Source organism: Homo sapiens, chromosome 6 (assembly GCF_000001405.40).
Source record: "Homo sapiens chromosome 6, GRCh38.p14 Primary Assembly".
In the NCBI taxonomy this organism is placed as follows: Eukaryota; Metazoa; Chordata; class Mammalia; order Primates; family Hominidae; genus Homo; species Homo sapiens.
Window position 1 is genome coordinate 26,581,095 of NC_000006.12, and position 26,623 is coordinate 26,607,717.

Sequence of the window (26,623 nt, forward strand, 5' to 3'; positions counted from 1 at the left end):
CTGGCTAGGACTTCCAGGACTTTTTTCTTTATTCTGAGGGCAATAGATAGGCTTTACAGCTGTTTATCAAATATAGTTACCCTCTTAGATTTGTTTTTTATAAAGCATTTAGTAGCACCATGAGAGTGGGGAATACTGTTGGAAAGGGGGATGGAAAAGGAGTTTGGGGGAAAGGCAGAGAGGTTTTCTAAAAGGTTACATGAGAGATAGTGAAGGGTGATACTGATGTACTATGCTGGCAGCAGAAATGGAAACATTCATTTAGAAACATTCTGGGTTTCTAAAAAGTGATTGTTGCCACTCTCTTGCATCGTGGAAGATGCTAGTCTGAGTCAAGAGACTATTCTAGCCTCCCAAATAGAGGCTGTCAAGGAAGCAAAGGTCTGTCAGAAAGGGAGGTTCAGGATCAAGTGTGAATGGTGGATCCCTATTTGTATGCCAAGCTAATGGACAATTTACTTTGATTAAACAAGTTAGTAGAGGTACTGATTTTACAGATACTCTTACATAATCGTATTGGTCCTCCTGGGCACTAGATCCCATCCCATTCTCAAGGATGACACTCCAGCTGTTGTCCTGATTATCATTCCTACATCATCTCCCCCGCCCCCTCACTTCCTGATATTTTACATTCAAGGCTAGCTTTATGCATATGCAACCTGTGCAGTTGCACAGGGCTTTGTGTTCAGAAAGACTAGCTCTTGGTTTAATACTCTGTTGTTGCCATCTTGAGATTCATTATAATATAATTTTTGAATTTGTGTTTTGAACGTGATGTCCAATGGGACAATGGAACATTCACATAACAGAGGAGACAGGTCAGGTGGCAGCCTCAATTCCTTGCCACCCTTTTCACATACAGCATTGGCAATGCCCCATGAGCACAAAATTTGGGGGAACCATGATGCTAAGACTCAAAGCACATATAAACATGTTACCTCTGTGACTAAAAGAAGTGGAGGTGCTGACAGCCCCCAGAGGCCACAGTTTATGTTCAAACCAAAACTTGCTTAGGGTGCAGAAAGAAGGCAATGGCAGGGTCTAAGAAACAGCCCATCATATCCTTGTTTATTCATGTTACGTCCCTGCATGAACTAATCACTTACACTGAAAATATTGACAGAGGAGGAAATGGAAAGATAGGGCAACCCATAGTTCTTTTTCCTTTTAGTCTTTCCTTATCAGTAAACCAAAGATAGTATTGGTAAAATGTGTGTGAGTTAATTAATGAGTTAGTTTTAGGCAGTGTTTCCACTGTTGGGGTAAGAACAAAATATATAGGCTTGTATTGAGCTATTAAATGTAAATTGTGGAATGTCAGTGATTCCAAGTATGAATTAAATATCCTTGTATTTGCATTTAAAATTGGCACTGAACAACAAAGATTAACAGTAAAATTAATAATGTAAAAGTTTAATTTTTACTTAGAATGACATTAAATAGCAAATAAAAGCACCATGATAAATCAAGAGAGAGACTGTGGAAAGAAGGAAAACGTTTTTATTTTAGTATATTTAATGGGACTTTCTTCCTGATGTTTTGTTTTGTTTTGAGAGAGAGGGATGTGGGGGCAGGGAGGTCTCATTTTGTTGCCCAGGCTGGACTTGAACTCCTGGGCTCCAGCTATCCTGCCTTAGCTTCTTGAGTAGCTGGGACTACAGGCACACACCACAGTGTCTGACATTTTCTGGATTTTTTTTTTTTTTTTATTTTTTTTGTGAGACAGGTTCTGGCTCTGTTACTCAGGTTGCAGTGCAGTGGCATGATAGCGGCTCACTGCAGCCTCAACCTCCTCAGCTTAAGCTACTCTCCCACTTCAGCCTCCTGAGTAGCCAGGACTACAGTTGTGTGCCACCACACCTGTGGCTAATTTTTGTAGAGATGGGGTCTCTCCACGTTGCCGAGGCTGGTCTCCAACTCCTGGTCTCAAGCGAACCTCCTGACTTGGCCTCCCGAAGTGCTGGGATTACAGGCTTGAGCCACTGCATCCAGCCTGTCCTCTGTGTTAAACCTACTCCAATTTGTCTTTCATCTCTACATAAACGGCTCTTTTCAAAGTTCCCATAGACCTCACTGTTGCTAATCTAATAATAAATTATCTGCCTTTTCTTACATGGTTCATCAGTAGCAGCATTAGATTGGGCTGCTCAATTCTTCTTGGTATATTTTCTTCATTTGGCTTCTGGGGCATCACACTCTCTTTGAGTTACTCATTCCTCATTGATAGCTTCTTCCTAGTCTTCTTTACTGGTTCTTCCTCTTCTCCCTGACTCCTTAATATTGTTTTTCTCCCCAGGCTTTAGTTCTTAGTCCTCTTCTGTTATCTATTTACACCCAATTCTTTCAGAGTCTCATCCAGAGTCATGAACTTAAACCTGTTTCTGTGCAGATAATTCACATTATTATATCTCCAGCCCAGACTCTCCCGCAAACTGCAGACTGATCCTACTGCAGTATTCCTACCTACTCATCATCTCCACTTAGAAGCTAATAATCATCAAAACTGGACTCCTTATCTCATTCCCTCCCAAATCTGTCGCACCCACAGTCACCCTCACTCCATTCCATCCTTCACAGTTCTCTGGTCAGATACCTGGGAGTCAGCCTGATTCTTCTTTGTGTCGCATTCCGCATCAATTTATTGGGTGATTCTGTTGCTTCTATCTTCACTACATATCCATGATCTTACAGCATCTCACCACTCTTACTGCCACAACTCCTTTTGGAGACATCGTAATTTTCGCCTGAATCAATCTTGCCTTCCTGCTTCTGCCCCTGACTACTTACCTATTCTTCCACAGCATATTGGATGACCTTTCAAAAACCTACTGTTTTTTTTCTGGGGTGGGGTGGGGTGGGGTGGTTTATTCAAGGATTTAGGGGCAAGTGGTTTAATCCAGAAAACACTGGTGTGGAAAAAACAAAGTGAAAAAGAAAAGAAAAGAAACCAAGGAATACCACTCTGGGCTATTCAAGCTTAATCCTTCTTAACCCCTCTTAATCCTCAGAGGAGGAACTCTGGGAAACAATGTTGAAAATATGCCTAAAAATGATCAAACTTCAAGGGTAAGGGAGCTGGGATAGTCATACACCATTTACCAAAAATTGCTTGGGAGCTATTCTAAACCTCCAATTCAGTGGAACATCTGGCCTGCCATGAATGTGGGCAAAGTGTGATCAGCAGGTGGGGAAAGCTCTCATGCGATAAGATGCAAGTACCGGCAGGTAGAAATCAGCCTGGTGGACATTGACATGGTGAAGGTCAGGGGGATATGGGGGGGGCTTCTTGGTGGGATGCCAGAGGTAATATGGTGAGGCTCCAACATCTTCAATGTGGAGTTGATCCTTGATCCTTGGTCTTCAAAGTTGGTCAGTGGCCAGGTGCCGTGGCTCATGCCTGTAATCTTAGCAGTTTCTGAGGCAGGTGGATCACTTGAGGTCAGGAGTTCAAGACTAGCCTAGCCAACATGCTGAAACCCCGTCTCTACTAAAAATACAAAAATTAGTCGGGCGTGGTAGCACATGCCTGTAATCCCAGCTACTAGGGAGGCTGAGGCAGGAGAATCACTTGAACCCGCGAGGTGGAGGTTGCAGTGAGCCAAGATCACACCACTTCACTCCAGCCTGGGCAAAAGAGCGAAACTCCATCTCACGTACACACACAAAGTAATAATAATAGTAATAATAATAATAAAATAAAAGTTGGTCAGTGGTCAATACATTTTCCAGGTCATTCCTGGGAGAATAAACAGTTTAAAAAAGGCTCAGATATCTTAGAGAGCCTGAGATGTTCCTAGAACTGAAACCAGTGTTGTACAAAAGGAACACTGATGTTGAAGAACTACTGCTGGATTAGAAGGAGTTAGGAGTATTAGGAAGCCCTACCTGCCATTGGGAATAAAAGTAGAAGATAAGACAATGATCAGGTTCCTTGTAGCTATTTTAGCCATGAAAATAGAAACTTTAGACCAGATACAGCATGCATATATAAGATAGTCATGTAACTTTCCATTGAATGTGATGCTCAGTCTATTTACTAATAATAATTAGGCATAAAACTCAACATTAAGAAATGATCTCGCATGGTAATTTTCAGGTGCAGCAAGGATTTAAGAGGCTAAGATTTTATGATTCATGCTACAATTTTCTATTTGTCTTAGGGAAGATCTGTCCCCAAAGAAGCAAATGGTTGGTAGAAGTTATGAGGGAAAAAGGAAAGCAATCTGAATTGTGGGTGCTGTGGCAAGGGAGAAAAGGAGAAAAAGGACAGTCACTATGGCTGCATATGGGGCCAAGAGACAGAGCAGGTGAAATGCCTCTTGTGTCTAATAATTATTTTTGCTGTAATCCTAATGACTGAACTTTCCAGGCTTGAAAAACTGCCATAGTATTTTAAAATCCCAATCTTAGATCTGTGTTCATTCTAATTTTGAGATTTTTACTACTTTTAGCTCAATACATTTAAATGTTCTAGAATTCTACCACAAAGAACCAAAGAAACTTTAGACATTTTCCTAAGCTTATCATAATATAAAGTGATATTAGGCTGTACGTAGACCACTGGCAATACTTCACTAAGCTTTTTCTTGGGATATGTTGATATTAATATATTAAAATATATATGTATATTTAAAAACCTGTTTTCTATGAACACTTTTAGCATACCTCTTAGTGCTCAAGTTCACACAATTTTGTTGGATATTTACCTAGAAAGGAATCTGGTCTTCTTAATGAATTCATACTTCTGAATTTCCTGGATGTATCCATCTGGATACATTAGCTTATGCTGCAATAATAAGTAATTCCTCTCCCCCACGCCAAATCATACTGGCTTATAACCATAAACTCCTATTTCTGTGTCATAAAAATCTATCATGATTTGGTTGGTGGTCTCTATTTCACTAATAAACCCTGATTTGTAGATCCTCTACAATCAAAATAATCAATTATTTTGTCAAGGTAAGGTAAAAAGGGACCCGATAGATTGCTCACTGACTCTCAAACATCTGGAAGGGACACCTCATTTTCCAGAACAAATGTGTCATATGTCCACATCTATTTCTGAGGAAGTAAGAACTACAATCTGCACATGCTACGTTACTAGAAGACTGTGGATCAGAATGACCATATGACCATCACAGAGCACCATAGGGCCACCAATTATTCTGGCTGCTCTCCTTCCTAAAAGCCAAATACATTTAGCTTTTCCCTATGGGAGACAACACAAAGGTCCATTAGAACATGGGCCAGTTGGAAGTCTAGCATCTCTGAACCATGGTGGTCCCTCCATTGATGAAGGATTGCAGTAGTTTCTATGTTGATTTTCATAAAAGCAGCTAGGCAAGTTTCCCAAATCTGAAACTTAGTGCAATAAAAAATATTGTACATAATATGAAAACATCAGAACAAAAGCATTGGAGACAAAATATGGTGAAAACAAACGTATTGTTGTATAATACGTTAGAACATAATTATTATGGGTAAAAGAACAAACAGTTCTTTTAGTTCCCCTAAATCTTAGAGAATACTTTGATTTTGTTTGTTTTTATTTTTTATTTGATTTATTTTTTGTTTTTGTTTTTGTTTTGAGACGGGGTCTCGCTCTGTTGCCCAGGCTGGAGTGCAGTGGCTACATCTCCACTCGCTGCAACCTCTGCCTCCTGGGTTCAAGTGATTCTCCTGCCTCAGCCTCCCAAGAACCTGGGACTACAGGCACCTGCTCCAATGCCCAGTGAAGGTACCTGCCACAATGCCAGCCGGTTTTTGTATTTTTAGTTGAGACAGACTTTCACCACATTGGCCAGGTTGGTCTCGAACTCCTGACCTCAGGTGATCTTCCCACATCTGCCTCGCAAAGTGGTGGGATTGCAGGTGTGAGCCACCATGCCTGGCCTAAGCAGTGTCTTTTATAAAGCAAACATTTAAATTTGATTAAGTCTAATTTATTAATTTATATTTTTATAGCTTTTTTTGTGTGTGTGTTCCTTTAAAGAATTTTTTGCCTAACCAAAGGTCATACAAATTTTCTTCTAGAAGTTTTACAATTTTATGATAAAGTTTTAATTATTAAATATGTTGCTGATGTGGGGCCATAGATTTTTTTAAATACATGAATGTCCAATTGTACCCGTACCAATTACTGAACGCCTATCCTTTTTCCATTGAATTATTTTGACAGCTTTCTCAAAAATCAATTGTCAATATGTATGTGAGTCTGCTTCCTGGCTCTCTAGTTTGTCCCATTGATCTGCAGGCCTATCCTTACACCAACACCATTTTGTCTTGATTACTTAATTTTTAAATAAATCTTGAAAACTTAACAGTGTATGTCCTCCAACTTTGTAATTCTTATTTAAGATGGCTGTTGTTATTCTGAGTTATTTGTGTTCCAAGTTAATTTTGTAAAATAATCTGGACCATTTTTACAAAAAAAAAAACAACCCACTGGGATTTTTATTGGGATTGTGTTGAATCCATAAATTAACCGGAGGGACTTGGCAGCTCCACAGTATCAAATCTTCTGATCCATAAATATGTTATATCTCTCATTTATTTGGTTCTGAGTGATTTATTTATTTATTTATTTATTATATTTTTGAGACAGAGTTTCCCTCTGTCTCCCAGGCTGGAGTGCAGTGGCAACATCTCCGCTCACTGCAACCTCGGCTTCCCGGGTTCAAGCGATTCTCCCGCCTCAGCCTACCGAGTAGCTGGAATTACAGGCGTGCGCCACCACGCCCGGCTAATTTTTGTATTTTTAGTAGAGACAGGGTTTCTTAGTCATACAGTAAGTTGATGCAAAAGTAATTGCCGTTTTGCCAGTAGAAAACGGCAAAAAGTAATTGCGGTTGTTCCCATCTTTTACTGGCAAAACCGCAATTACTTTTGCACCAACCTATAAAGTACAACTTATAAAGTATTTTGTTTACTTTATAAGTCAGGGTTTTGTACAAGTAAAACTTTCAAAGTGTGCATTTAAAATTTTTTTTAAAAAAATTGACAGCAGTCTGTAAGTGTTGAGAAGAAAGTGCACATTTTAGCAAGTTCAGGCAAATGTATGCTGGAAGTAACCAACACAAATACAAAGATAAATACATATCCTTTGCTTCCCAAAACTGTCTCATGCCCTTTTACAGTCGATTGCTGCTATCCATTCTCAGCCCCTGACAACCCAGGCTGGAGTGCAATGGCGCGATCTCGGCTCACTGCAACCTCCATCTCCTGGGTTCAAGCGATTCTCCTGCCTCAGCCTTCCGAGCCTCAGCCTCCCGAGTAGCTGGGATTACAGGTATGTGCCACCACGCCCGGCTAATTTTTTATTTTTAGTAGAGATGGGATTTCACCATGTTGGTCAGGCAGGTCTCGAACTCCTGACCTCAGGTGATCTGCCCGCCTCGGCCTCCCAAAGTGCTGCGATTACAGGCGTGAGCCACCGCGCCCGGCCTGATTTTGGTTTTTATACTTTTGTCTTTTCTCTAACTGTATAAATGAAATAATTTGGGACCAGGCACCGTGGCTCATGCCTGTAATCCCAGCACTTGGGGAGGCCGGGGCGGGTGGATCACTTGAGGTCAGGAGTTGGAGACCAGCCTGGGGAACAAGGCGAAAACCCGCCTCTACAAAAATTAGCGGGGCGTGGTGGCACGTGCCTGTAGCCTCAGCTACTCGGGAGGCTGAGGTTGGAGGATAACTTGAACCCGGGAGGCGGAGGTTGCTATGAGCCGAGATCCCACCACTGCACTCTTTAGAGCCTGGGTGACAGAGTTGAGACCCTGTCTAAATAATAATAATAATAAATTGAATGTATCCCTTTGTAATTCCCTGTTGTTGTTGTTGTTGTTGTTGTTGTTGTTGAGACAAGAGTTTTGCTCTGTCACCCAGGCTAGAGTGCAGTGGCGCGATCTTGGCTCACTGCAGTCTCTGCCTCCCGGGTTCAAGCGATCCTCCTGCCTCAGCCTCCCAAGTAGCTAGGGTTACAGGCTCCCGCTACCGCGTCCGGTTAATTTTTGTATTTTTAATAAAGACGGTGTTTCACCATGTTGGCCAGGCTGGTATCGAATTCCCGATCTCAGGTGATCCGCTCTCCTTAGCCTTCCGAAGTATTGGGATTACAGGCGTGAGCCACACCGCCCAGTCAATGATTGACTTTCTTTATATAACATAATGCTTTAAGATTTATCAATGTGGTGGCCTTTTTGGAGGCCGAGGCAGGCGGATCACCCGAGGTCAGGAGTTGGAGGCCGGCCTGCCCAACGTGGCGAAACCCCCTCTCTACTAAAAATACAAAAAATTAGCCGGGCGTGGTGGCGGGCACCTGTAATCCCAGCTACTCGGGAGGCTGAGGCAGGAGAATCGCTTGAACCCGGGAGGCAGAGGTTGCAGTGAGCCGAGATTGCGCCACTACACTCCAGCCTGGGTGATAAGAGCGAAATTCTGTCTTAAAAAAAAAAATTATCAATGTGGCATATATTAGTAGTTAATTCCTTTTATTGCTGAGCAGTATTCCATTATGTGGATTTACTACAACTTATCCATTCACCAGCTGATAGATACTTGGATGTTTCTAGTTTTTGGCAGTTATGCATAAAGCTACTATAAATATTCATGTAGTGTTATGGCAAATATATGTATAACTTCATTTTTAAAAACTGACAGTGTTTTTCAAGGTGGACCAGTTTGTATTCCCACCAGCAATATATAAGAATTTCAGTTATTTCACATCATCATCGGCGCTCGGCACTGTTAATTTCTCACCTTTTTTTTTTTTAACTTCAGCTATTCTCTTAGGTGTGTAAAGTATCTCATTGTGGCTTTAATTTGCATCTGCCTAATGAATAGTGATGTTACATATCTTATTATGCTTATTGGCCATCAGTACAGCTTCTTTTGTAAAATATCTGTCCAAATCATTTGTCCATTTAAAAAAGGGTATTGTCTGGTCTTATTATTGAGTTGCAAGAGTATGTTATTGTTCTGGTTATAAGTCCTGCATCAGGGAAGTGTTTTCCAAGTATCTTTTTCTAAACTGTGACTTTTTTTTTTTTTTTTTTTTTGGTAGAGAGGGGATTTCGCTGTGTTACCCAGGCTGATCTTGAACTCCTGGACTCAAGCAATCTGCCGGCCTCAGCCTTCCAAAGTGCTGGGATTACAGGCTTGAGCTACCATGCCTGGCCTGACTTGTCTTTTCTTAACAGTATCTTTTGAAGCGCAGATTTTTTGTTAAACTTTGATGAAATTCAACTTATTTTTTCCTTTATGGTTTATGCTTTTGTGTCCCATTTAAAATCTTTTTGCTTAACCTAAAGTCACAAAGAGTTCCTTCTACGTTTTCTTCTAGAGGTTTTGTTGTTCTAGTCCTTGCATTTAAGTCTTTGATTAATTTTGAATTAATGTTTGTACATTGTGTGATATAAGGGTCTAAGTTCACTTATTAGCACATGGATATTCAGGTTTTTTAGCATCATTTTGCAAAGATTATCGTTTTCCTGTAGAATTACCTTGGCACCTCTGTCAAAAATCAATTAATCATAATCATGTAAGTTTATCTCTAGACTCTATGTAGCTTTGTTGTAAGTCTTGAAATCAGGTAGTGTTCTTCCAACTTTGTTCTTCAAAATTAGTTTGGATATTTTGCATCTTTTGACTGTCTGTATACATTTTATACATTTTATATTTGGCTTGCCAATTTCTAAAAAAAATCATTGAGATTTTGATAGTCATGGCATTAAATGTATCAGTCAATTTGAAAGATGTGGAATTGATATCTGAAAATTGTTTAAATTTTCTGTTCTGGAAACAATGCATTGCTTTCATTGCATCTTGGTAAATTTATCTCTAAATGTTTCATATTTTTTATACTATTTCAAATGGTATTTTGTATTTCAATTTCTAACTATTTATTGTTAACAAATACAATCTATTAATAAATAGAATTACAATTTATTATATTTGTGTCCTGCAGTTTTGGTAAGCTTACTCATTAGTTGTAGTAGCTTTGTAGAAGTTTCCTCAGTATTTTCTCGTAGACAATAATGTTACATGCAAATAAAGATAGTCTCACTTTTTCCTTTTAATCTGTATTTTTTTCTTTCTCTTGTGTTATTGCACTGGCTAGAATCTCTAGGATAATGCTGAATAGAAGTTGTGAGAGTGGACATCCTTGCTCTGGACCTGATGTTAGGGCCAAAACATTTGAGTTTTTCATCACTAAATATATTAGCTGTTGAATTCTTAAATATGTCTTTTATACTTTGCAGAAATTCTAACAAATGTATCTGAATTTTGTCAATTGCTTTTTTCTACACCTACTGGAATAATCATATGGCTTTTCCTGTTTAGTCTGATAATAAAGTAATTACACTGATTACATTGATTTCAAAATTAAATTCTAAGCTACACTTTTCTTTTCTTCTTTAATTCTTTGAAAGTTACTCTTCCCATTTTTTAGATTAAGGTACAATTCACATACAGTAATGTCATCAGTTTTAATGTACATTCTCCTTAGTGTAGCAAATTTTGTCAAATATAGACAGTCGTGTTATCACCATTACAATCAAGATATGGAATAATAATATCACTCTACCCCCAAATTTCTGCATGTTTCTTCTTCTTTTCCTCCTCCTTCTTCTTCTTCTCCTTCTCCTTCTTCTTCTTCTTTTTTTTTTTTTTTTAATAGACAGGGTCATGCTCTGTTACCCAGGCTGGAGTGCAGTTCTTCCATCATAGCTTACTGCAGGCTGGAACTCCTGGGCTCAAGCCATTACAGGCATGACACCAGGCCTAGCCTCCCAGGAGGAAAGAAGAAAGAAGTTGTTTCTTCTTCTTCTTTCTTCCTTCTTTCTTTCTCCTCCTCTTCCTCCTCCTCCTCTCCTTCTCCTTCTTCTTCCTCTTCTTCTTTTTCTATTTTGTTCTTACTGAATCACTATGTTTCTTTTATACTTAATTTCTCCCCTATCTTCTACCCCAGTAGCAACTAAGGATATTTTCTGTCCCTATAGCTTTGCCCTTGCAAGAATTTCATAGGAATAATATAGTATGTAGCATTTTGTATCTGGCTTTGTAAATTCAGCATAATGCAGATGAGTTTCATCCCTGTTGTTACGTTTACCAATAGTTTGTTCCTTTTTATTCCATAGGAATATTATAGTGGTCTGTAAGCTTCAAGAGAAGTTAAAACCATCTAGGTAGGACTCAATTCGCAAGTTGAAAAGGTGCTAAAACAATAGAGAAGCTACAGGGTGAGATTGTAATCAAGTGATGATGATACATTTCCAAGAATTATTTCAGATAGTTAGATTTAGCCATAAACCCATTTTGAACTTGTGTCTGCAACAAGAGGGAATAAATAGAATGGCCGTTCTGACACCAGATTCTGTAAGAAGAGGAAGAAGGAAGTCTTCCCTCAAAGTGATACAGAAATCTAGTGCGGAAAGGTACTAATTACTTGTTCTTGTATTCCCAGGAGGCAAATATTGGGGATTATCAGGGGAAAGAGCATTTCAGGCAAATGAAATTCCAACTTTAACAGCCCTGAGGTGTGATTCTTATGCTAAGATTAGTTTATAGGTAAAGAAAATAATTGATGAGATTAGCTATTGGAGTTCTTCCTGATCAAAATCAACTCTATAGTACCGTGTCACTGAGAGTCAGGAGGCTCTGGGAGCTCCTGAGCATAGCAGTAACTGATGAGAAACATACTGAGCATTTTTTTCTGTATGTTTGCTGCCCCCTGTGAAAATTAGTGAAGCTTTTATTCGAGAAAGCATGTGAACTGAGATCCTGGGGTTTGGTGGTGAAATGGCAGGGTTGGTCAACTGCTTTCACATCTGGTGTCCAAGGCTCAGTTAGTACACTTCATATGGGCAGAGACCATCTCATAAGAATCTGCTCATTTCTCTTCTCTGGCTTCTCGTATTTTCCCCGACTAGGTTACATTATTGGAAAGGAATTTACCAGACCATATATTCTTAGTTTCTCATGGCAATGAATTGAATAACTGAATTAAATATTAGTTATGTTGCTGCAGATATTTCTCATGGGAAACGCTGGAGAGGATCTTTTGAAAAAAAAAACCGTATTTTTGTCAAGATTACAATTATGGAGAACTTTAACTGTAATAAGTGATGATCTTTTATAAATAAATTCACCAACACTCCTTTCCATAAATTTCACAATTTATAATTTCCATATACTTCTAATAATTTTATAAAAAAGAAAAGTCTCTCCAGATGCCTTCCCGTTCTTCCCATTGGTGTTCATTTCTGTTTTAGGCACGAGGAAGCTGAATACCATGATAGGTACTTATTAGCAAAGCATGACAGCATACCTTTGTGAAAACTGTCAGAATCAAAATGGAGTCACTATTGTTAAAACACACAAACACACAAAACAAACTAAAAACGCTAATTAATAGAGCTGGAAAAGGCCATGCTTGATAACAAAAACTATCACAAAAGACTGCAAAAACCACAATCTTGCACAGGCCATCACAATCTTACACAAAAAATACTTCTACAAGGACATCTGCCCCACAACTGCCTGTCCAACCTCGGACTAGCTTCCTCTTTGCTATCCATTTTTGTAGCAGACAATAATTACCTCAACACAGTTATATAATCCTTCTCATTTTTTCCCTTACAAATCTTTGTCGCTGAGCTCGGTGGCTCACGCCTGTAATCCCAGCACTTTATATTCTGGATCATGAGGTCAGGTGGGCGGATCATGAGGTCAGGAGTTCGAGACCAGCCTGGCCAATATGGTGAAACCCCGTCTCTACTAAAAATACAACAATTAGCCGGGCGTGGTGGCGGGCATCTGTAATTCCAGCTACTCCGGGAGGCTGAGGCAGGAGAATTGCTTGAACCCGGAAGGCGGAGGTTGCAGTGAGCCGAGATTGCGCCATTGCACTCCAGCCTGGGCGACAGAGCCAGACTCCAACTCAAAAACAAACAAACAAACACCTTTGTCTTCCTTTACCTCCCTGAATATACATAGTTTCCTATGGCACTCGTATTTTCATTGCAATGCTCTATTCCCAAATAAACATCATTTTCTTTCAGAGAGCTTCTCTTTGTTATTTAGGTTGACACCTGTAAATAGAATGCTATATTTCTTTTTTAAATTGTAGGGGGAGAGAGAAGTGTTGTGTTTCATTTACTTGTCCCATTACAATTGTGCAATATCATATGAGCCGCTCAATTCCTAAACATATGTACACACACAACGCACTTCTGTTTTGTGTCTCGAACACAAATTACAAATTATACAAATTGTGTAATTTTCCTTGCCCTTCAGAAAGGAGAATCTCAATGTTTCCGAAATGAACTGGGCAGTAACTTCGCTTCAAGGCGGTAGGTCCCCCCTCTTCAACCCAGTTGTCTAAAATAACCTTGTCTTTATTATTTACTTCCTATAGAGAGAGGAGGTGCTAAGCGGACAGGACAGCTGGACAACACGCGCAATAAGGGCAATGGTCCTATCTATTCTAAGGGAGGAGGACATGGAATATTGGTGTGGTTTTGTTTATTTTTTATTTTTTTGGACCTATGTGAAACATTTTTACAGTAAAACCCACAAATTTTAAATGTTCAAGAGAATTGTTCATATACTTGTATAGTCAGTATCCCTACTCAGATAAGAACATTTTAGAACATTTTGGAACATTTCTAATATCCTAGAAAATTTCCTCACGTTTCCCTATATTTTCAAAATGAACAAGAATACAGGATAGTCAAAAGCAATAGGTAAATCCTAAAGAATCCAAAACGAGGGTAATGACATCCTTCGATAGCTCAGCTGGTAGAGCGGAGGACTGTAGGGGTTTGAATGTGGTCATCCTTAGGTCGCTGGTTCGAATCCGGCTCGGAGGAGTTCCATTTTTAAAAGTGTCTCTTCTGGGCCTGAAATAAGGAAACTTGGAGAACGCATGTGCAGCTTGCTTATTCAGGAATTTGTAAGACGCTCAGAGAAGGAAAATAATCCACCCTGAAAATTGCTAACAAGGGTTGCTTCACAGACAGTTGAGTGGGACTCGATTTTCACCAAGTTGAGAAGGGATCATGAGGAATGTGGGGAACGGGAAGAACACGCTGCCCCAAGGCTTCATTTTTTTTTTTTTGTCGGTTTCACGGTCCTTTAGCACCCCCTGTTATATTGATACTTGGTGTGAATAAACATTTTATTAATGATAATTTCAAATATATACAAAGTAGAGAAAATAGCTAATAGCTACCATTAGCCACCACACTGGCACAACTTACCGACACTCTTGCATCCATCATGCCCCTCCCCTAGCTCCAGATCTTTTAAAGCCACCCCAACACGTGTTCTCATTTCATTAACTGTACTGTGTTTTGAAGATGTCAGTGTTTATAATTAAATAGCAGTAGACGGAGTTTATCGCTCTCATCGTACCCCGCTCCTCTTCAAAAAAGGAGCAGTGGACACCTACCTGACAGAAAGTTCTCTTCAATAAAGTTAATGAAACAGGCGTGTTTGAATTCGAGAAGTCTATTATTAGACTTTTAGACACTCCATGAAAGAGTGCAGGGCCCTGTTACTTTAGAAATATACTTGGGGACTGGCAAAAACTGTCATCTCTGATTTTAATAGTGGACACATTTACTCCCTGCTTCCATTCTCTGGGCTACTCTGCGCTCTTGGAGCGAGATGGGAAATTTTGTCAGGCCGCAGCAAGGACGGATTTATGTTGATAGTCATCAAACTCGCCCCGGGCTGCTTCCAGAAAGCTAACCGGATTACTTGTACGCGGTTCCCAGCACTGTCCTTTGCAGTCAGCTTGTCGCTGGCGCCGATGGGAAGAACTGAAACGCCTCAAGGGTGGGGACGGCGCCCCCTGCTGGTCGCGCCCTCGGGCGACGATAAGAGACTGAGGACCCGAGCCCGCGCGGGGAAAACTGCCCTGAGCTTGGCTTAGGGATGGTCCGCAGGCCGCCTGGTGGGAGCAGGACCGCCGTGGCCCGGTCCGTTCTGCGGTTGCGTAGGTCATAGAAGGAAAAGTGGTTTGTGATCTGATAGGGAATCTGAGGACAGACCCAGGGAGAGCAGAAATAAGCGCGCCGCCGGGGGGTCGCCAGAATTGGAGGCTTGTGCGCCTCTGACAAGTATTTGCAACATAAGTATGCATATGGATAATGTATCAATACACACGTGTAATAGATGCCAAACAAATTCTTCAAATAATTGTCACACATTTAAATTTTCAGACATTCACAAAATCAAATGTAAAATATTAAACTGAAAGTTCACAACTTAAATTTTCAAAAATTAAATCTAATTAAATTTCCAAAGTTGAACTGTTTTCAAAATTAAATTTTAAAATATTCAAAATTCCGAGGTAAATTTCCAGAAATAGTTAAAACCTCAAAACTCAAAATTTTTAAATGAAATTTATAAACTTTAAAAGGTGAGTCATTCCTCAGCTGGAATCGCACCCGGGGCCCTTGAATAAAATGCTATTTTGATCGCTAGAACACATAGAAACTTCTCTAAAATTGTTCTGCAAAATTCCCTAAAAAGCCGGCATCAACCCGCCTTTTAGCGTCTCGACAAGGCGTTCTATAGGGTAGGTTATATTTGGGGATCTGCCTTTTCTGGTTCTGCCTGTCCTGAGTTGGAGATCTGACCGGGAATCTGAGCCTAACCCAAGTTTCCCATCCCGCTTCCACGCTCTGAATCAGGCTTCCGACCTGACACACCACTTCCTCCCTCTCCCCTCGGCCTTCCCCTGGACCCGACTGTATTGCCCAATCATTTCCTTTCATTTGTCATCACCACCTTGGACCCGCCCCCTCGTCTCAGGCCGTCGCACGCGTTTTGCGTCAGTTGGCAAGGCACTTTACGGCCGTCGTGCCGCTCGTGTCAGTCAACATGGAGGCAGAGGAATCGGAGAAGGCCGCAACGGAGCAAGAGCCGCTGGAAGGGACAGAACAGACACTAGATGCGGAGGAGGAGCAGGAGGAATCCGAAGAAGCGGCCTGTGGCAGCAAGAAACGGGTAGTGCCAGGTATTGTGTACCTGGGCCATATCCCGCCGCGCTTCCGGCCCCTGCACGTCCGCAACCTTCTCAGCGCCTATGGCGAGGTCGGACGCGTCTTCTTTCAGGCTGAGGGTAAGTATGCAGGCCCTGACGGTGACAGGAGGAGGTTGTCGCTCGCTGGCGGGGTGCAAGCATGCATGTCCTGTTGCTTCGCTGCGCGAGGCTGAGGCACGAGTTGCTGGATTTTGGGGGTGGGGAGTGCGGTGCTTGGCTCCTGGCTGGTGAATCAGTCTGTGAGGATGCTGGGGTGGGCGGGCGGAGGGGATATGGGGAGAGTGGGTAGCGCAGTGTGTCTGGTGGTTCTTTAGTTCTCGGATTGTTACTATTTGTGTTCTTATCCCGGCTCTGTTCACCTCTCTTTCCGGACCTGTTTACTGGTTTGTTACATGAATACAACCTGAGTAAAAGTCTCGTCAGCTTTTCTACAAAACTGAACATAACTCTTTAGCATTGCTGCCTAGGTCAAGAAACTATTTGATCAACCGCCCCTCTTCTTTCCACCCTCAATTTTACATTGAGGCTGAGGACTTGTGCCGGTTTTAAGCAGCGTTCAGGGCTGGCCAGATTAAGGAGTGGACAATTAAGGAAAGAATTGAGTTAGCTAGAGGAAAGGGTGCGATTTACAGTTCCCTTCCTCCTGGGCAAAAACTCTTCAGGTGGGACTCCCACTGGCAGATGTGAAGAACGTTGCGGGCAGTGGGAGGTGCTTTTGAGTGAGTGCTGCATAGGCGTCCTGGACGGGTCTTTGTCTTTGGCGCGCAGACCGGTTCGTGAGACGCAAGAAGAAGGCAGCAGCAGCTGCCGGAGGAAAAAAGCGGTCCTACACCAAGGACTACACCGAGGGATGGGTGGAGTTCCGTGACAAGCGCATAGCCAAGCGCGTGGCGGCCAGTCTACACAACACGCCTATGGGTGCCCGCAGGCGCAGCCCCTTCCGTTATGATCTTTGGAACCTCAAGGTGAGAAGATAGATCTTTCTGCCACACCTCTCACCCTCCCTTCTCCCCAACTCTGGCCCAAGTATCCCCATGGCCTCTCATTGGCCTTGTCCCCTTGTCTCATCTTTCTCCCTAATCTGCACTATCCTGATCTTTTCTTCTTTTCTGCCCACAGTACTTGCACCGTTTCACCTGGTCCCACCTCAGCGAGCACCTCGCCTTTGAGCGCCAGGTGCGCAGGCAGCGCTTGAGAGCGGAGGTTGCTCAAGCCAAGCGTGAGACCGACTTCTATCTTCAAAGTGTGGAACGGGGACAACGCTTTCTTGCGGCCGATGGGGACCCTGCTCGCCCAGATGGCTCCTGGACATTTGCCCAGCGTCCTACTGAGCAGGAACTGAGGGCCCGTAAAGCAGCACGGCCAGGGGGACGTGAACGGGCTCGCCTGGCAACTGCCCAGGACAAGGCCCGCTCCAACAAAGGGCTCCTGGCCAGGATCTTTGGAGCCCCGCCACCCTCAGAGAGCATGGAGGGACCTTCCCTTGTCAGGGACTCCTGAGGGCCTGGGTGGCCCCTTCCATTTCCTGGCCCTGCTCTGCTTCCTGTCTACCTCATACTAGAATGATCGTGACTACCCGGGCAGACATTTTACTGTGTTTCTCAGACCAAGTGTCTACTGATGGCCCAAACATGGAGTTTTGTGGGCTTCCACTGTCCCCACTCCGAACTCCTGTATGTGCCTGGCTGAGTCACCTAATTCATACTGTCATACTAGCATAATTATGACTATTGCATATGCTTGTTTTGTTTGACTCTTGGCTGCCTACGTCTGTAGGGTCCCCTGAAAATCCCACTTCCTGCCCCCAGAAAGGGCCTTTATTTCCAACTAGGAGGATAATGCCTAGTCCAGGCAATCTTTCTCTGTTTAGCAGTCACAGGTGAGGGTGGTATTAGCATCTTTTTTATGTAGAAAAAATTGAGTTAATGGGGTGGACTGGGTTGGGAAGAAATACATTTCCTAATGTATTTATAGAAAATAAAAATATTTTTATGTGCCTTTTTATTTTTGTTGGTGGGGAGGTCATTGGACAAGTTCCAACTTTCATCTTGTGTTCCCTTCACCTTCATATCCTGATCTTAGAGCCCCCCTCCCCCTGCCACCCACCTTACTGTTTAACCTGGATTTTTTTTTCTATTTAATTTTTGTCTAATATCTTAGCCCAGTTTATCAATCAGTTATCTTAAGTCAGCATTTTCTAAGCCATTGTTTGAGGAAACAGTGACAATAGGTAATAACACATCTTAGTATTAAGAGTTTTACAGGCCACTAGTATAAGATAGGCATCGTGGTAGATGCATATAAAGGGTGGAATGGGAGCCATGGCAGGTCATAGAGTCCTCTCAATGGGAACCTGATTGATGATCACAGTCTTCAGTGGTGAGTCAGTCCTCACCAAGTTTTCCAGATCATTCCTACAAAGTAAACTGGGAGAATAATAAGTCTGAAAGAGTGTGGAGTGCTCCCACAATTACAAAGAATGCTTCCTGGGTGGAGTGTTGAGTTGGAACCATTGTAAAGGTGGGCAAAGCCTAGTAGAGAACCAGTGCACCTCAGGTGCACTTACATATGGTGGGGCTGAGGCAAAGCAGCCCTGTAGGCTTCAAAGAATCAGTGTAAGCCACTAAAAGGAACTGAAAACCTAGGTGTCACAATAAACAGTCTACACAGTCTCACGTAGACCAAAATTCTGATCATTTTCCAGGCTGTTGCATGAAGTGATAGAGTATGATTATAATTTCTGTTTGCTTGTGCTGTTTGTTTTTGTTTTTCATCTGTCAATGTGATGATCTGTGTTTTATAGGGTAGAGTGGATTTGTCTACTTTGGCTGTAAAATACCCTAATCACATTATGATCTTGACAGGTGCACTTTACTGGGGAGAATAAAAAGGACCATACGGTAAAGCTGGTATAACATTTCTCACAACCCACATACCTCTTATACTTGGCACACAAACTACGTTTCCATTTAGAAACTTTCGTCTTGTTTCTGTTTTTAATTCTTGTGGGTTTGTTTCATGTGAATTGTTTCCTCAGATCATTGATGTCTTAAAGTGAAACAGAAAAATCCAGAATCAGAATTTGACAGGCTGGCATATTCATTTATTCAGAATTCCAAGTGCCCATTGCTACTTCTGCTAGATAAAGAGATACCAAGGTGAAGAAGAAACTTTCCCTCTAGTTGCTAACAGCTTAGAAAGTACAGTAGACATACTGGGGTTTTATTTAAGACTTTCTTGAATGAAGAAATAAATTGCATTCCCACGGTGGACAGCGTTAGATAACAGTATGTTCAAGGGCTGGTATTTCAGGGTCCATCTCCAAAACAGTTCTGTACAAAGAGCTCACACCTGCGGCCAGGCAAGCTAAGTAAGTCACAGGTGGAGTGAGGAATGAGAATAAATGGGTGGAAGAAAATATCCTAGGAACTTTCATCTTGACTTTAAGCCCATTGAGTGTAGGAAAATAATTTTTTACATCCACAATTTTGTTTCTATTTAAACAGCACTTGTTTTTTTATATGAAGTAACTCATTTAATCCACAACTATATAATATTGTTATCCCCCCATTAAAACTGAGCTCAGAGAGATGACTCAATTTGCCTCTTAATATTTTATCCTTTGTTCCTCACCTTTTCCCCAGCTTTTCCCAGTGTGCATATGGTGAATGCTTATTACAGGAAATTCATGAGAAATGCACATGTTATAGACTAGAGAATGAAGTGTACCTGCCAATATGAGTGGATTTATTTTATCTAGCACCAAGAGTAGCAAACTGAGTAATAATTCTCAGTCATGATCCTGTGGTTGTAGTGTATACTCTGATTCAACTTAGTTTCACTCCTGACTGAGAAGCTGGGACTCTGCATTTGATGGCAATGGAGTGGGCTGATTTCTTTCCAAATAAGTTGAGGTGGGACTCCTGGTAGAGTAAGAGGGCTTTAATAGGGTATGTCTGGGTGCCTAAAAGCTTTCTCTCTCTTTTTTTTTTTCAGAGACAGGGTCTCTCTATGTTGCTCAGGCTGGCCTTGAGCTCCTGGGCTCAAGCGATCCTCCCGCCTCAGCCTCCCAAAGTACTGGGATTACAGGCATGAGCCACCACGCCCTGCCCTAAAAATGTTCAAAAGTCGTATTTACAGCTACTCTCAAATTCCTTTTTTTTTGTGATTCCTTATAAAACCTTTCTCCCTGCATTTATCTTGTTATATTACAGTAGAATTATGAGGGGAAAATCCTTTGGTGGAAGTCTAGGGACATGCTCAGTTCCCAGGAGGCTTAATGTGAATTTTAGTGAATTGCTTAAGATCCAGTATTAGATCTGCTGGTCCCTGCCCACCCCCCTTTTATTTTTTGAGACAGGGTCTCACTTTGTCACCCAGGCTGGAGTGTAGTGGCATGATCCTGTCTCACTGTAGCCTCCATCTTCTGGGCTCAAGCAATCCTCCCACCTCAGTTTCCTGAGTAGCTGGGACCGCAGGCATGCACCATCACGCCCAGCTAATTTTTAAAATATTTTTTGTAGAGATGAGGTCTCACTGTGTTGCCCAGGCTGCTCTCGAACTCCCGTTCTCAAGCGATCCACCCACCTTGGCCTCCCAAAGTGCTGAGATTACAGCCACGGTGCTCGGCTCCCATCTTGAAATCAATACCTGACAGAATATTAAAGAAAATGAAAATTGGCCGGGTGTGGTGGCTGACGCCTGTAATCCCAACACTTTGGGAGGCCAAGCCTAGTGGATCACTTGAGGTCAGGAGTTCGAGACCAGCCTGGGCAACACGGTGAAACCCTGTCTCTACTAAAAATACAAAAATTAGCCGGGTGTAATGGCGGGCCCCTGTAATGCCAGCTACGCAAGAGGCTGAGGCAGGAGAATCGCTGCTTGAACCCGGGAGGCGGAGGTTGCAGTGAGCCGAGATTGAAAATGAAAAATTTTCTATCTTCTGTTACCAGGGCCCTTGAAACCACACTTTTTTCGCACCCCTTGTTAACTGGAGACACGAAGGCGGGCGGAGGGGAGAGGCCATCGGAAACCTGGCAATGTCTTTTGCAGCTGCATGGTGTGTGCCCAGCCACCTTCAGCAGTTATTGTGGCCAGTCTGTGGCTGACCTGGGCTATCAGGGTTAGCGCACTCCAGTGAGCTCCCCCAGCACATTGCCTGCAAATGAATTCAGAGAACTTCTTTTTGTTTTTCACCTTTGCCTCCAATTCCATTGTGTCAATTATCATTGATTATTTAATCAGGACTTTATGGTTGGACGTGCAGCTTCTTCTAATCTTTTTTTCTTTTAAGTGTTTAAAAGAATAATGCTGACATGAGTCAATTTTAGTTGTACAAATACAGCTATTGTGTAAAAATTGTCAGAAGCGGAATTGCAGAGTCTAAGAGAGACCATCTTTGGTATTTATTTTGTTAGCAAGAAAAAAATTGAGAGTCTGATAATTTAGGAAAATACCAGTCACAGGAAAATACCAGTCACAGGAATACAGGTGGAAACCTAGCTAGAGGTCTCCACCCCTTTTATTCGTGCTCTATTGTGACGTCCAAAGCCTGACCCAAGGAACTGATTCAGGTAGAGGCGACGCCAGCTCAGTGTAGGGGGCAAGCTCTGCAAGACCTTGGCCGAGTGACTTCTGCTGCTTTTTGCTGTGGGGACTCTACTGGATGGACCAGCACATGAGAGAGATGGAGTTTGGAAACAAAACAAGTGGTTCAGAAACATGGGATTGCTTTCATATCTACTGGCATTTAGAAGGAGCTTGGTAAATTTAATCAAGAAACAAGGAAATGAAAATACCCAAGGAACACCAGGGGAAGAATAATGGTTGGATTTTCATTTAATTTGCCAGACACAATCCCTGAAGTAAGAAAATACCGTTTCTCATGAAATTCCGGCACCCGAGGCTCAAACGGCCAACCCTACGGTTAACAGCCGAACGCGCTAACCAATTGTGCCACAGAAATGAATGTGGTGGAATATCTCCATTCCAACAAGGTTATTTTACTTTTTTTCAGTCTAAACAATACATTAGAAAGGAGGCTACTTCTCCGTGTATTGGAAAAATGTTTTCCCTTTTTTTGACTCTCATTGTTGCTATGTTAATGTGTTTTAAAAACGGAGGTTTATAGGCTTGCCGCCGTGGCTCACACTGTAATCCCAGCACTGTGGGAGGCCGAGGCGGGCGGATCACGAAGTCAGGAGTTCCAGATCAGCCTGGCCAACATGGTGAAACCCATCTCTACTAAAAATACAAAAATTAACCGGGCGTGATGGCGGGCGCCTGTAATCCCAGCTAGTTGGGAGGCTGAGGCAGGAGAATTGCTTGAACCCAGGAAGCAGAGGTTGCAGTAGGCCGAGATCGCGCCACTGCACTCCAGCGTGGGTGGCAGAGCAAGACTCCGTTTCAAACAACAACAACAACAACAACAACAACAAAACACAGAGGTTTGTAATAATACAGATATTATTCTTAGGAACATAAGAGTGTTAATTGGGTGGAGAGCAGGACGCGGGACTGGTGCGTTTTGCAAAATAAGTATGAGTAGAATCAAAGGAAAGAATTTATTTTCGGTTCAATAAGGAAGTTTTCACTGATAGTTCAGTTGAGAGAGAAACCACTGGAAGGCTGTTGCATAGAAGGAAATATATTAAATGAGAAAGACACCAGCAAGAGCAGAGGGGAAAACCATTTAATGGAAAATCTGATACAAATATTAAGGGAAAGTAAGGGGCCAAACACCAGGACATGAAACCAGAAACTCCTATACATTAGTGCTTGTCCACCAAACTGCGAGCCTGAAATTGCGATCATACTTTATATTTGTGTTTTAAAGAGTAAGTTGGTGACAGATTTTATTTCTTTTCTGCCTGTCTTCCTGCTTCCTCTTTTTCTTTCTGCCTTCCTCTCATTCTCCAGTATGTATACCTTCTAATCATTTTCTTCTGGGTTTTATTCTGAATATTAGGATTTTCTAAATTTGTTCCTGTTTTTCTCATTTTCTTAAGCATATGTGGGTTGACCTTTGAAGTACGATGATGGGTAGGGGGTGGGTGGATGTTGTGATATTCACTACCCTATTTGTCTTTCTAGTCCTTTCAGTGACATTTAAGCCCAAGAGTCAGGTTACATTAGGATGATGTCCTCAACTTGAACTGTTGACTCTTGGATGTCCTCTATTCGTTTAGTCTCCCAACTAACAGTTATTGAGTGTCTGCTAAAAGCTAGGCACAGTTCTAGGCATTCGGATACATCAACAGTACACAGCAGAGACTAGGGTGGATTTTTCAAGCTGGGGAGAAACACATAATAAACACAAATAAGTAATTGTATCTATTTGAAGGTAATAAGTTCTATGGAGCAAAGAAAAAGTCAAGCAGGGTAAGGGGACCAGGGAGTGGGAGGTATGTGGTTTGCAATATTAAACAGGCAAGTTAGGGTGGCCTCTTTGTTTATGATATTTTGGAATGGCTTATTGGAGTTTTGATATATCCATCTTTGTCTTTAAAAGATGTCTCTCTGAGAACCTAGGCTGAAACAGACAAAAGAAACTGGATAGATCTTTCAACAGCAATTATGGGGAGTTTTGAGAGGAGGTGCTCCCTGGGATTGGATGAAGATACCAGTTAGGAAGGATGTAAATGTCTATTATTTAGGAATAGACAAACCTCATAATCTATTTTACGACCAAGAATTCTGTATTTGCCATTTTCAGAGATTTGGGTTGGTGGCTCAATGTAGAATGCCCTTTTCTACGGATCACTATATTCCATGTTGGACTTCTGGTTGGCTTGTTTAGTTTTTTCTTTGGAATTCAGTGCTACCACACAGACGTGTGCAAACACACCCACACACACACCATTAAACAAACAAAGGCCAGTGGGTCTCTTGGCTAAGGATTCTATGGTGCATATGCAAGAAATGCTACTGATAAGGAATGTTATATCAAGTTTCTCAAGAGTGGATAAAGCTGACCAATCTAGCTGCTATACTTGGAGAGGATAATATGGATGGTGTAAATTAGAATTGTATATAAGCAATAAGTTAGAATATGGACAGTCTTTTTTTTCCCCCTTTTTTTTTTTTTTAAAGAAAATGGACATTCTTTCATGATTCATCAAAAGAATCATTGGAGAAACTGATTTATCATGTGACCTCAAGTGTTTCTTGGAAACCTTTTGGAGGAAAAAGAAATTAAACATGCTGAACTGGCTGAAAAAAATATAGAAGAAGCACTTTCAGATCATATTAAATATATACAAACTGGAAAGAATCTATGCACACAGAAAACACCCAATTTGAAGTGACTTTTAAAGTCTTCAGCAGAGTTAGCGGCATGACAACAGAAAGAAATGAAAGTCTGGACAATGTTTGCTCCACTTAATATGGAGAAAAAAAATGTCCCAAAATAGATGATGATCTGAGCCATGCACATGAAAGTTGCATTTCTACAGAAAATGGGCCAAACGTCTTACAGAAAATCCTGAAAGTGCTATTTGTTCTTCACAATGCCAGATGAGTTCCCATGAGGAAAAATTATGATAACTGGAGGTCATCGAATCTGCTTGCTGAGAAAAACTTAGTTACATAAGAAAATAAAATGAGCCAGGCATTGTGGCTCATGCCTTTAATCCCAGCACTTGGGGAGGCCAAGGTGGGAGGATTGCTTGAAGCCGGAGTTCAGAACCATCCTGGCCAACATAGTGAGACCTCATCTCTATTTTTTAAAAAATTAAAAATTTGTTGTATGCATTTTATATTTATTTTATATTTTATATATAAAGGAACATAAAATGCATACAACCAACAAAGTATATTGAAGCCAAGATCACATGCAGCTTTTGGGAAGAGGATCCACATGCTCCTGTTCTAACAGGGCCACTTTGGAAAGGCCCAGGACAATATGTTTCCCTGGAATATCAGATCACTAAGGAAGGTTAAGCTAGGTGGGCTCAGAAATCTAGAATCCATAGTTGTCCTGTGAGGACCTGAAGAAACTTAGGATAAAAGACAAATGATTTCCCTAGAACGATTCCATTCTGATCCAGATCTTGCTCCAAAAAGCCTTTTGACTTTGATAGACTTGCTGAATCTGAAGACTTCAGAAGTTTCAGTACACCTTAAATGGAAATAAAGTCCGATAGAAATACTACAAAGATGTACCTGATGAGAACAAGTGACTTGTCTCCCCCACCTGAAAGTGGAATGGCTGGCTCAAGCATAGTTCTGCCATCTCACAGTCAGAGTCCCAAACATTCTCATGAACTCCAGGGGCATTTCATGTTCCAAAGACTTCTGTTTGCTCGCCCTTCTTTGGAGAGTATATATGGATGTTCCCCAAGTGCTTGTTCTCCTAAGTGATTTCCAGGACCTAACACACTCTCCATTTACAATGCCAAGTTATTCTCTCCTAATTGCTGTATTCCTCCCCTCCCATTTGAAAACCCTGAAGGTAGATGTGACCCGCACTTAGGGTTAGCTGAGCTTTCAAATAAAACTCAATCCAAAGATCCAAAACCATAGTGAGGAATTCTTTGGTCCCTTGTGTCAACTAATTCTGAATTATCTCTTATTCAATGCAAATAATGTTAGTTAAGTAGTTATAAAATTGGATCAAATGGAAGCCTGATAGAATTTTAAATCTTAGTGCTTCCATTATATCCTAGAAGAGATAGTATAAGTATAGTAATTGTTATTATCTGGTCTTCTATAACAAAAACTTCAGTGGAAGTCTGACATGAGCAGTTTAGCATTTGGAGAAATTTGGAAGTGCAAAGGTCATATTTCTATGTCATAAATTGTGTTTATTATAATTCTTAGACAAATGTCAAAATAACTTGTTTACTAATACAATTTAATTTTTTTTAAAAAATCATCTGTATATTGCCAAAATTAGCATGATAATTTGGGATATGGGAAGAAACATTGAGGACCATGGGGTAAAGCAATGTGTTGCTGGTTTTAGGGTTGTGTGAGGGAATAAGCAGTATATATTTGCATGAGCACTACATATTCCAGTAACTGAGGCAGATCTAGAGTCCAGGTTTTCTGAAGTTCAGATTTGGATCTTAAGCGCAGGGAAAAAGGAATTTTATAAGAAATTTTTAATCATTTCTTAATTTCTATTCAATTTACTTTGCAACAAACATGTAAAGGTATAAGTTTACCTCTGCAATAAGGTCTGGAAATAACACTTTTAAAACTTCTTGCAGTGGGGTAACTTGTAGTAGGAAAACTCACATAAACACACAAATTCAATATAAAAATGATGCCAGTTGTCATATGTGCCAGTTATCACATGATTGTGTCCCAGCCCTGAATCCACCCTCAAGTACTGGGCTTTGAGATGTGGGGCTTGGGCTCTGCAAAACATATTTCTCTTTTGCTTGCGGTTCCCTGTTAGATTCTGACACTAGAGGGCCCCAGGAGCCTGTTCATTCTCTGTTACTTTATTATAGGGCAACAGCCCTTCACCCTGGCAGTGATAGAACAGTTTGTTTCACTTTCCAGATTTTGAAAAGTGCCTGCAGACCCAGGCTCATTGCACCTTCAGAGGTGCCAGGGTCATCTAGG

General features: G+C 41.4%; 1 protein-coding gene, 1 long non-coding RNA gene and 1 other non-coding gene across 3 annotated transcripts, besides 5 other annotated features; all 3 read left to right on the top strand.

The window, feature by feature from the left end:
- Nucleotides 11,718–11,822: a transcriptional cis regulatory region, noted in NCBI's record as "candidate enhancer chr6.1185 targeted for multiplex CRISPR interference". NCBI's record gives its function as "positively regulates H1-3 gene expression in K562 cells {active_cell/tissue: K562}" and the evidence as "EXISTENCE:mutant phenotype evidence [ECO:0000015][PMID:30612741]".
- Nucleotides 12,487–12,781: a silencer, noted in NCBI's record as "tiled region #4089; K562 Repressive DNase matched - State 4:PromP". NCBI's record gives its function as "represses a minimal TATA promoter and a strong SV40 promoter by Sharpr-MPRA in K562 cells {active_cell/tissue: K562}" and the evidence as "EXISTENCE:reporter gene assay evidence [ECO:0000049][PMID:27701403]".
- Nucleotides 13,780–13,868, top strand: TRY-GTA6-1 (tRNA-Tyr (anticodon GTA) 6-1). The gene is given in 2 exon segments: nucleotides 13,780–13,816; nucleotides 13,833–13,868. It is a non-coding gene; the product is annotated as a tRNA-Tyr (tRNA).
- Nucleotides 14,741–14,890: an enhancer, noted in NCBI's record as "active region_24249". NCBI's record gives its function as "activates an Ori minimal core promoter by ATAC-STARR-seq in GM12878 lymphoblastoid cells {active_cell/tissue: GM12878}" and the evidence as "EXISTENCE:reporter gene assay evidence [ECO:0000049][PMID:35858748]".
- Nucleotides 14,991–15,150: an enhancer, noted in NCBI's record as "active region_24250". NCBI's record gives its function as "activates an Ori minimal core promoter by ATAC-STARR-seq in GM12878 lymphoblastoid cells {active_cell/tissue: GM12878}" and the evidence as "EXISTENCE:reporter gene assay evidence [ECO:0000049][PMID:35858748]".
- Nucleotides 15,708–16,147: an enhancer, noted in NCBI's record as "active region_24251". NCBI's record gives its function as "activates an Ori minimal core promoter by ATAC-STARR-seq in GM12878 lymphoblastoid cells {active_cell/tissue: GM12878}" and the evidence as "EXISTENCE:reporter gene assay evidence [ECO:0000049][PMID:35858748]".
- On the top strand, nucleotides 15,859–19,645 carry ABT1 (activator of basal transcription 1). The gene is made up of 3 exons (NM_013375.4): nucleotides 15,859–16,129; nucleotides 16,820–17,016; nucleotides 17,171–19,645. Exons 1-3 carry the CDS (start codon nucleotides 15,889–15,891, stop codon nucleotides 17,549–17,551), a joined length of 819 nt encoding a protein of 272 aa, NP_037507.1. The 5' UTR covers nucleotides 15,859–15,888; the 3' UTR covers nucleotides 17,552–19,645.
- A 1,993-nt stretch (nucleotides 19,646–21,638) lies between these two features.
- Nucleotides 21,639–25,567, top strand: LOC105374989 (uncharacterized). The gene is made up of 2 exons (NR_187833.1): nucleotides 21,639–22,497; nucleotides 23,562–25,567. It is a non-coding gene; the product is annotated as an uncharacterized LOC105374989 (long non-coding RNA).
- Nucleotides 25,568–26,623: the final 1,056 nt, after the last annotated feature.